This window comes from Homo sapiens, chromosome 3 (genome assembly GCF_000001405.40).
Source record: "Homo sapiens chromosome 3, GRCh38.p14 Primary Assembly".
Taxonomy (NCBI): domain Eukaryota; kingdom Metazoa; phylum Chordata; class Mammalia; order Primates; family Hominidae; genus Homo; species Homo sapiens.
In genome coordinates, this window is record NC_000003.12 from 164686115 (window position 1) to 164697831 (window position 11717).

The following is an 11717-nucleotide window of genomic DNA, read 5'->3' on the forward strand; positions in this document are numbered from 1 at the left end:
CTTATTTCACTTATCACAGTATCCTCTAGGTTCATCTATATTGTCACAAATCGCAGCATTTTTCCTTCTTTTCTAAAGTCTAAACAACATTCTACTGTGTATGTACACTACATTTTCTTTAACCGTCTGTTTATGGGCATTTGGTTTGTTTCCATATTATCGCCACTGTGAATGCTGCTTCAATAAACATGGGGATACAGATATCTCTTCCAGAGTCTGATTTCAATTATTTTATAATAGAAATGTACTCAGTAGTGGGATTGCTGGATCACATGGCAAGTCTATTTTTAATTTTCAAAGAAACTCAGATACTGTCTTTTACAGTGGCTGTATCATCCTACATTTTCACCAATAGTATACAAGAGTTTCAATTTCTCTACATCCTTGCCACATTTATTTTTTTATTATAGTAATCCTACCAGATGAGTATAGTTAACAATACAGATTTGTTCACTGAAAAATGTGTTAAGAGAATAGATTTCATGTTAGGTGTTCTTACCATACACACACAGGTACACAGAAAGAACAGAAGAAAAATTTTGGAGGTGATGCATATGTTTAGTTACTTGATTGTGGTAATGCTGTAATGGGTGTATGCATAGGTCTAAAATAATTAAAATGCATATATTATAATATGTGTAATTTTTGTATATCAATTATACCTTCAAAAAGCTTAACATTTTCAAGTAAATTGAAATCTAAGCCCCCCACACCAAATTCCAAAACACTGTTACTAGGGTTTTCAATTACATGAAGCCATATAATTCTGTGATATATTAAGATTCACCATCAAGTTTCTGGACCACGTATTTGTTTCCATTTTTTTCCTCATTTAAATCATACTAGTGGGATATTATTATATTTAAGTACAATATAGTATTGTTCTTGTTCATTAACTTTTACATTGTAAATATCTTTCTATGCCATATTATTCCATACCTTTGTTTTCAGTCTCATACATTTGCTGTAATTTATTAAACCAATCACCCATTGTAGAATAGTTATTTTTTCTTATTTTTCCTCTGTTGTAAACAAGAAGATGTAAAAACACTAGATTTTCAAATTCTAGTCAGCATTATGTACTATTGAAAAGTGATAATTAATTGAAATTTATTTGACCAAATAGGGTTTAATGCCAGGCAACTTTGTCCCCACAAGAACACAGTGTTTGTGAAGGACTCTCTAAAGTTGGGCCCAATCTAATTAGGGGGCAGTAAGAGTGCCAGGCATGAGTAACTGACAATCATGGTCATATGATACGAAGGCTCAATCATGTTCATGACTATACAAAGGCTCATTTTGTTCTTACAGAGCTCCACAAAACATGGAAGAAACAGAAATGCCTATTTAGACGGGAACGTTGAGACACAGAAATTTGCTGTCTCCTGTCCAATTGCTTACAATATCAAGTGTTTTTGCAGCTCAAGTAGCCATATTTTGCATGGGACATATGATATCTTCTGTTTGTTTTGAGTTTGAGTGTAATGAATCAATCACTTTGCCTGTCTTTCAGAAAAGAATCAGTTTTAGATTCTTCCGTCACTACATTTGCTGCCTCGTACATTTAATATGATGCTCCAAAATGAGAAAACTGACAAGCAAGCAGAACAGACATAATTGCCTGAGATTTAACTTCAGAAAGCAAAACTAAGTTTCCAAAATATCAAAAATATTTTAAGTGTTGTTGTATTTGTTGTTATATTAATACATGATTTGGTTTTATTGAAATAAAATAATAAATTTTGTATGTTCAAGTATCACTTTTCTTCTGCCTTTATCAAATTTCTAAATTGCTTGCAGGTGCAGCTACATTCACAACAAATTCCTTTCCTTGAGGTTATTCTAATGGCTCCAATAAGAGAAAAAAAATCTTCCTCCTATTACACTGTATTAATGACTACTAATACCACTGATTTATTAATAGATATCAGAAATCATTGCTGTGTGTTATTTTGCATGAATGGTTTGTAATTATTTATTTATTTATTTATTTATTTATTTATTTACTTTTTGAGGGACGGGGTCTCTCTGTGTTTCCCAGGCTGAACTGGAACTCCTGGGCTTAAGCAATTCTCCTATCTTAGACTCCTAAGTAGCTGGGACTACAGGAGTCCACCACCACTGCACCTGAAAATTCTTACACTTTTTAATCCTAAATAGTGTTGTATTTAGATTTGAGGCACAGGAAAAAATATTTATGACTGATAAGGTGTATGTAAATAAAGAACTCAGAACTCAGGGCTTAGCAGGGATATAAGTTTTCAAGGTCTTTAAAATCTAAAAACAACCACTCTCTTTTTAACATTTTGCTCTCTCCCTTTAACGAACTTAACTCAATTTTTTTATAATTTATTTATTTAAGATTAATTTCATCTCCTCCATCACACAGTAAAACCCATAAAGGCACAGGGTCTTTATTATCATAGACCCAGTGACTAGCCTAGTGCTTGGTACAAAGAGGGATGTAAGTATATATACACATATATAAAACAGTATAAATGATTGATGGAATAAAGGGTAAAACTACAGTGAGCTAATGCAGAAGAGAAGAAATAAAATAAATGTCATGGAGCAAAAATGACACAAAGTTTGTGTTTATGTGTACCTTAGTAGAATGTCACTAAAGCTGAATTTTCCAAGGCTGAAGATTTAAAAATATTAATTTTGTATTAACTTGTATTTTTACTTTTGTATTATTTTCCTCAAAGTAGAATGTTCTTGGAACGTAACTATATATCTTTTTATTCTCCTTTTAATCAGGGTGAGACATACAGTCAAAGAAGTTTCTCAATAAATGCCTATTAAATAATTAAATACATTTTTTCTATTGAATAATTAAATGAATATAATCTTTTCCCTAAAAGTATTATTGTTTATTGTGTTTATACATATAGTTTCTATTGCTCTTGACTAAATTTTAATCTTAAATAATTTATTGGGTAAATCAAGCAAATTTTGATATGTGCATATTTTCACAGGATATATACTAGTGCCCTTTTATTTGCCTTATTCTTTCAACAAATAATAGCCAAACTTGGAATGAATGGCATATTCTCAGTTAGCATTTACAATTTAAAATTGTTTAATGCTGATTGACAAGATTTTTTGCAAGGACAATGTTATTGTCACCATGCTCTGACTGGCAACTCAATATTACTTTCAATAACTTATCAAATACTATGGAACTTGACATGGTTTGCAATTGTAATAAGAAGAATGTTATATTTTAACCTTATTGTTTTCATCTTTACAGGGCACAAATCTGAGAAGATGAAAGGAACTATTAAAAATGGTTACGTGAAAAGTTCTAATAGCTCCAACATTTTCTTTTAGAGTTGATGACTACCTACCTGTATATACTTAGTAGTATTTTCTAGTAATATCACTGTTATACTATATTATTCATTAACTACCATCTAGGTGTTATTTGGTTCATGTCACATCCAAGTCTAAAAAGGCAAGCCCACAAAACTCTGAGTTTCTCTTAAATAACTAGTAGAATGATCTCGTGAAAAAATTAACCTATGATCTCAGACTAGATGGTAATCCAAAGAGACAAAGGAACTGACCATCACATTACATTCTTACATGGGTTTCTCCAATGCATTTACTCTGGACAGAGGTTGTGCAATGGATCCACTAAACTTCCTGTGAAAATAATTGACTGTTAGAAACACTTCCTTATGTGTTTCTTACATTTTGAAGAAGCTACTTGTAAACCTCTTTTGGAGTTTGACAAATCCTCAAATCATAAAAATAAATCAATTTGTCATCGTTTCTTTGTACTGACATATTAATGGAATATAATACACTAGCAGCAATAAGTTATTCTTCATAGTTTTGTGATTCAGCTTTGCCATATTAACCAGGATAATAATGGCAATGAAAAGCCTTCAGACTTCACTACTAGAGAACAAAGAAAAAGAAAACTGACATAAAATTACTATAACTCTTAAGATCTATAGCAGTAGTTTATGGCAGTATTATGAGTATGGCACTTTAAGATATTAACATATTTTTAAAGTGTCTTTATAATACTGTAGCCAAACTTAAAGAGTGGAGGGGAATGAAACATCAATGAAAGAAGAAAAATTGTTTCCTTCACAGTCACTTGATTTTTTTTCCCACAAATGATAAAAACAAAGTGTATCTCCATCAAATTTTATAGACCCAATTTTGAGTAAAATATTTCTCCCAACAACTTAAAAGTAAAGTAGGAGTTTGAGGCTTCTGGATGAATTTGGATTGAGAAGCTAAATAATCTAGATGTTTACAAAAGTTGACAGGAAAATGTTACTTGAAGTTGATCCTGTTCTATAAACAAACAAACAAATGAAAGACTAAATAATCTTAAAGTACTAAATTGAAGAGACCTATGTATTTCCTAGAAATATACTAGAAATATGAGCCACACAGTAGGCATTTGGCTCAATCTCTATTTAAACTGGCATTAGTAGTATCAAGTTCTATATAGTGTTAAACTGTCTGGATACTGGAACAAACTAACTGGAATCAAATCCTGCTTCTGTTGCAAATGACAGAATAACTTTAAACTCCTTAAGTCTCAGTTTCCTTTTCTGTACTGGGATAAAATGATTAAAAAACAACCAACACTACTGAGCCAATTTTTTATTCATAAAAAAAATTATTGGATACCATATAGTGGCAGATACTGTTCAAATAACAGAACAGAGAAAAAGACGCTTGCCCTCTTGCAACTTTCATGGATTGCCATGATTATTAAGAATTCAGATAAGCCGGGCAAGGTGGCTCACGCCTGTAATCCCAGCACTTTGGGAGGCCGAGGCAGACAGATCACCTGAGATCAGGAGTTAAAAACCAGCCTGGCCAACATGGCGAAACCCCATCTCTACTAAAAATACAAAAATTAGCCAGGCATGGTGGTGGGTGCCTGTAATCCCAGCTACTCGGGAGGCCGAAGCAGGAGAATCGCTTGAACCCAGGAGGCGGAGGTTGAAGTGAGCCGAGGTCGCGCCACTGCACTTCGGCCTGGGTGACACAGCCAGACTCCATCTCAAAAAAAAAAAGAAAAAGAAAAAAAAAAGAATTCTGATAATGTGCTTAACACTGCACCAATAATTGTGTTATTGCAAAAGAGAAGCTCCTGTGATAAAAATTGTGATGATTCATATTATTATTTGAGTGAATAGTGATCTAACATAAAATCCTTTTTCATCATGATGTCTTGTGATTTGATGTAATGCAGAATTGATCCACAGTTGATGGCCGATCATAATAGTACTTTTCACACTTTCTCACATAATATGTGTGACTTTGATGATAAATAAAATGTGATCTGAGTTCATACCTGCTGATAATTGGCCACAATCTGGCAACCTAAAGAAATGTATTTAATCATCTTATTTAGACAGGTCTGGAAGTTAAGTGTATTTTCTGAAAGTTTGCTTATCTTAATTTACAAAAAGCTTTCAGAACCAAAGTGTATTTTTTTAATTGGGTTAACATAAAAGACATAAATTACAGTCTTCGTGTAACTCTTTATATTGGCTAATTGATAATAAATGCACACTTACAGCTACAGAATATATTTTTTGCATGGAATCTATGGGAAGTAATAAAGAATTACTTACACATACTAGAATTATATTGAGGGGATAAAATGTAAATGCAATGAAAGAATGAACTTAATTCCATCTCAATGACAAAAGAACTAAAAAAAAAGCTCTTGTTTATTATTAGAATTCTAAATTCTTGCTCAGAGGGTTCTATTAAACTTTATTTCCTCCTTCATTAGTTTCATTTTATTATTTATTTCTCTCAACTGTTAACTTTCTGAACAGATAAATACATCATTGCGTTTGTATATATTATTTCCCTTTGGGTGATGTAACAAATTAGCACAAACTTGGTGGCTTAAAGTAAAACAATTTATTAATTTAGCTTTCAGTAGGTTAGACGTCTGATGTGAACCCACTTAATAAAATTCAGGGTGTCAGCTAGGCTGCATTCCTTCTGGAGGCTTAGAAAAGAATCATTTGCCTGCCTTTTTCCACTTCTAGAAGCCACTCACATTCCTTACCTAGTGACCATTCTTCCATCGTCAAAGCCAACAACGGTGGGTAGAATCATTCTCAGAATGCCATCTCTCTGGTTCCCTGAAGCCAAAAAAGGTTCTCTGCCTTTAAGAATCCATGTGATTAGATTTGACTGAACTGGGTAATCCAGGTTCTTCTTCCTATTTCAAGGTATTTATCTTAACTACAACCGTAAAAATCTCTTTTGCCATGTCCTGAAGATTAGGGTATGGGTATGTCTAAGGGCCATTATTTGCTGACCACAGTGTGTGAAATAAGTAAGTACAATAAGAAATCACAAAAAAACAGTTAAGTGTAAGAAAAATTATTTTTCAAGAGAACATTTTGTATTAATTTTTCAAATAAAATAGCAAAGATTTCATGAAGAATATAGTGTTTGATAGAAATTAAACATTTTATGCTCAAAACTTTCAGGTGACTTTATGATCCTTTTATTAGTATAGATTAATTTTTTATCATGATTATTTTCTCACTTTTTCAGTCTCTGTTCCTCCTATTTATACATAGGGAAACTTGGAATAAGAAACAAATACACTGGATTTTGTGAATGTGTTATATAGGGAATATCTGTCATAATCATTGAAAAGTGGACCATATCACATCTGACACATACATCCTTACACTGCTACAGGCATAGAATTATTTTAATGTTTTAATGAAGGAAAACACCTTGAAATGCACAATAGCATAGAAATGCTTTAAGAAGTAGATAAAAGACTGATTTCGTTTTTTTTCAGTCTTTCCATTCTTCCAATATTTCTATCCGTGAAAACATTATCTCCTATTTTGGTGGTATTTTATTTTATTATTTTTTTTTTGATTGAGTCTCACTCTGTCACCCAGGCTGGACTGCAGTGGCGCCATCTCGGCTCACTGCAAGCTCCACCTCCCAGGTTCACGCCATTCTCCTGCCTCAGCCTCCCGAGTAGCTGGGACTACAGGCACCCGCCACCACTCCCGGCTAATTTTTTGTGTGTTTATAGTAGAGACTTGGTTTCACCGTGTTAGCCAGAATGAGTCTCGATCTCCTGGCCTCATGATCCGCCCGCCTCGGCCTCCCAAAGTGCTGGGATTACAGGCGTGAGCCACCGCGCCTGGGCCCTATTTTGGTATCTTCTTAATAAGGTAGTTCATTCTACTCAGGGTCATTCAAACACCTCGGGTCCACCTGGGGCCAAAAGGGAAGTCAAAGCCTGGTTGTTTACTGGATTTAACGGCAATTTTACATCCCTGACTTATCAAAAACACCTGACAGCATACAGAATATTTTCAAATTCCCTAGAAGAGAAATCATTCTTTTTTTCTTCTCCTTTCTCTTGTTTTCATGTATTATAGTTTTAATTTTTTTTCACCAAACACTAATTTATCTTTAGCCCTTTTTTATCTCCTACCATGTACTTTTCTGACACCTGCTCCCCTCCATCAAGTATCTTGCTACTACAGAAACAGAGCATTCAAGTGTACTTTATATTGATTGAAAATATTTTCACATTGAAAATAAATTCCTATTGGTGTTAAGATCTTTATGACTTCTTGCCTTTTAAATTGTTCTGTTACTCTAGGAATTTAACTTCATCTTTTCCCTTAGGATCACCACCTTTTAGATTTCAGGGACTCTTTGACATAATTAGGTTGATCTTTAATAAGTTCCAGTTTAATAGCTCAAGTGAGCCCACATTAATTCCACTTTGTTTCTGGTCTATTTGTGCAAATGATAATTCCCTTTCTTTCATCAATGTCATCTCTACACTGACTCCTAGCTCCACGTACTGAGAGTCTCCATCTGAGTTCTGCCTAAACTCATAGGTTAGTCTCTGATAACCTTTCTCCTAAACCTCTCAAACACCAACAGGCTGATTGCTGGATTCTCACAACTTGCCTCTTTAAATTGCTCTCTCCTTTTGGAATTTTGCAGTGGCTTCAATAATCACTTACTTCATGTCACTATACTCAGAATGTTCACCGGACCACCTGTGTGCTTGTGTTTCTCTTATTACCTGCCCTCTAGCCTGAATCATGGATAGTTTCATGTTAAAAGCTTATCATTTATAATTAAGCAAATAATTAAACCAATATTGTTGATAAAATATTTTCACAAATATTTAGAAGAGTTTTATAAAAATGTAGTTATTTAGCCCCTGTAATTACTCAGATATTTTGCAGATTTGCAATAAGCAGAAAATAGAATCTTGTTCTCAACGAGTTGATAGTCTGGAAAAGAAAAGAGATGTTAATGGAATAATCATTATAATGGATATATAATGACAAATGAGATAAATGTTCTGCAGGAAAAATCACTGGGCTCTATGAATGTATTATAAGAAAGTCCTGTATTATACAAAAGAATCAGAGAAATCTTTTTGAAAAAGTAACACCTGAGCCAAAGAAAAGGTGTGAATAGTGGCTGAACATTCAAATGGTGGGGGTGCTGGGATTTGGAGAGAGTCTTTCTGGTAGATAAAAAGACCACATGTGGCCAGGCGCGATGGCTCATGCCTGTAATCCCAGCACTTTGGGAGGCCGAGGCGGGTGCATTACGAAGCCAAGGGATTGAGACCATCCTGGCAAACATGGTGAAACCCCGTCTCTACTAAAAATACAAAAGTTTGCTGGGCCTGGTGGCGTGTGCCTGTGGTCCCAGGTACTCGGGGTGCTGAGGCAAGAGAATTGCTTGAACCCGGGCTTAGGTTAGGTTGCAGTGAGCCGAGATTGTGCCACTAAGCCTGGCGACAGAGCGAGACGCTGTCTCAAAAAACAAACAACAAACAAACAAACAAACAAACAAAAAACAGCACATGCTCGGTGATGGAAGAGTGCATGCCAAGTCTGAGGGACAAAACAAAATGCCACTGTGCCAGAGTTTGTTAAACCAGGGGAGTGCTACATGATGAAGCTCCAGAGAGAGGCAGGGACAAGATAACACACAGCTTTATAGGTCATGTTGAGCAATAATAGATTTTAAGCAGCATGAGTGACATCACAAGTTTGCAAAGATCATCCTAACTGGAATGTGAGGAATAGACTGGAGAAGGACCAACTTGGATGAGGAATAGCACTTAGATTATGGCAGAATTCAACTGAGGAACAATCATAGATTGGAGCATTCTGCACGCAGCCTTAAAGACTGGCTAGTTACATGACAAATGTGCCAGAATTAAATATGGAAAATGTACTCAATACTCCATAGTTCCCATTTTGAATAACTTGTATTTATAGCATTTTGCACACAATAAAGCACATACAATAATGCTTATGTGTGTACCCATGTATGTTCCTTTTAATCATCAGAAGCATCTTGTGAGGTAGCTATTTCTTCATTTTTTTCAAGTTAAGATATTTTCAGAAAGTTGAATGTCTTGTCAAAGCCTACACAAATGGTAAATAGCAGAATCAGCCCTCCTGAACCGTTACTTTCACTTCTTTCTTTCTACTTCATTGCATCCATTATATTTAAACATTTTCTCTTCCTTAAACAAACAAACAAACAAACTATATGCAGTATAGGAGCGTTAACACCTTTCTGCATATTCTCAGCTGCAGTTGCCAACTCTTCTACAGTTTCCTTAGCATCTTAATCTGCTAAACACTTAACGACAATTACTGATGACAACAAACGCAGAATACAATGTTGAGCCTTCTTAGTAGTTCAGTTTCTCCTCTTTGCATATGTTAATGAATAATTTTAATTCTACATGATCAACAATTTAAAAGCATGCTTGTAGCTCAAGCAATTTGGAAGTGTACTTTAGAATCTATAAATACATTTTGGACAGATATGATCTGGTGCTAATCCTGAGGATATGACAGAAGGCAAACACCAGTCAGCATCATTTAAGAGTTATTTTCTTCATTAAATTTTCTTCCCAAAATGGTGGGTAATTCTAATTTTTTAAATGTCTAAAAAAGGCTCAAGGCTCCTATCAGCTATGGAATTATACAATCTTACATTTAAATTTGTTACATAGTTATGTGGAAAAGGGAATAACTGGTGTGCCATAAGCTACAGTTGCTGACACAGTACTCATAATAGGTTCTTTCCCAGAGGTTTTATTGCAGTTATATAAAAAAATCATTCATTTATGATGTTCAAAAAACTTTTTTGGGGGTTACATTTTTGAGAGATGTAGCAGGAAAATATTAGTTACTGTTTATAATAACTTAAGCAACAAACATTTGTGCAACTACAAACACTGTGATAGTTTGCATTTTCTTACTTGTTCAAAATACAGAATTTTAAACTTCCTAATGTAAAAATTATTTTAAGTTCCGTAGGAACAAAATTACATCACTACTGAAAACAGAGGCCTTGTTTCTTATTATTACAGTCATACCTTTTCTTTTTCTGACATTTTATTGATGTATACATAAAATATTATTCAATACAATCGCTTTGCAATGCTAGTAATTTGAGGAAAATTAAATTTTACAGGTTTCTTTATGCTTCTGTCATATTCATCTTCCTTCTTCATAATTATTTCAGACTTGCCAGTAAGCTTTCTGTTATTTTTGCCTCTCTTGAGAAGCTTTTGTAATGAAAAGAGAAAAGAGAGAAATTTCTCAAGGTAGCATATGCTATTCAAAAGAAAATCATCTTGGAAAATTATCATTATTTCATACATTATTTTAAGAGTTTCCCTAGGAATGACCTTCCTTCTAGACAGATGAGAGTACATATTAAACATTTATAGTCTGAGAAATTAACTTTTGGCAGAGGGGAAAAAGGAAGAAAAAACGATTAAGACATAGAGTCTGGTTCGATCAATCTGGCTATGAATAATTACGTTAAAATTGGCTCTTTATATTTTGCACACTCTATAAAGTTATACATTTAACAGAAATTGCTTTGTGAAATAAAAGTAAATAATTAAAATAGAAAAACATAAAAGAAATTATTTTGCTAAATAAATTATTTTAAATGAAACAAGATATTATGGGGCAGTGTCTTTTATTTAATATCTACTTATAAATTATGTTTCACAAAGTATACACTTTTCATCCAAATTTACCATATCTAAAGGCAAAATAATCCACAAAATGTTTAATTATATCTTGACTTTTAGTATTATTATTATTTTATTTCAATAGCTTTTGTGGTATAAATGGCTTTTGGTTACATGGATGAATTCTCTTGCGGTGAATTCTGAGATTTTAGCGCACCTGTCATCCAAGCAGTGTACACTGTGCCCAATATGTAGCCTTTTCTTCTTCAACCCCCCTCTTCACCTCTCCATCAGTTCCCAAAGTCCATCATACCACTCTGTATGTCTTTGCACCCACATAGCTTAGCTCACACTTATAAATGAGAACATATCTTCTGATCTTTTTTTAAGATGATAAAGCTACCATTTTCTGGAGACTCTCCAGTGTCCAAAGGAGAAGGGTCTACAATTATGAATATTTTCGGATACACCTGTATGACACAGAGATTTTTTTTTTCATCCACATAGCCGTGTACAAAATTTGAAGGGGGATAAGGCAGAAAATTGGCCCCAGTTTTCGTATTTCAAACTTAAACAATAAAATGTCCTTACTCTAATTTTTGTAACAGTGTTTGTGCTTTGAGATGTTAATGCAGAATTCTACACAGTATTACAAAAAGATTAAAGGCCTGCAATTGTATCTGAAGCAAAGTTTACCCTA

At 33.9% G+C, this 11717-nt stretch overlaps 1 long non-coding RNA gene across 1 annotated transcript in view; it reads left to right on the forward strand.

Moving 5' to 3' along the window:
• The window catches only part of LOC105374191 (uncharacterized), a 237185-nt gene extending 235428 nt beyond the window's left edge, over window positions 1-1757 (forward strand). The window contains exon 4 of the long non-coding RNA XR_001740998.2: window positions 1514-1757. This is a non-coding gene — a long non-coding RNA (uncharacterized LOC105374191). The remainder of the gene's footprint in view (window positions 1-1513) is intronic.
• The last annotated feature ends 9960 nt before the right edge of the window (window positions 1758-11717 follow it).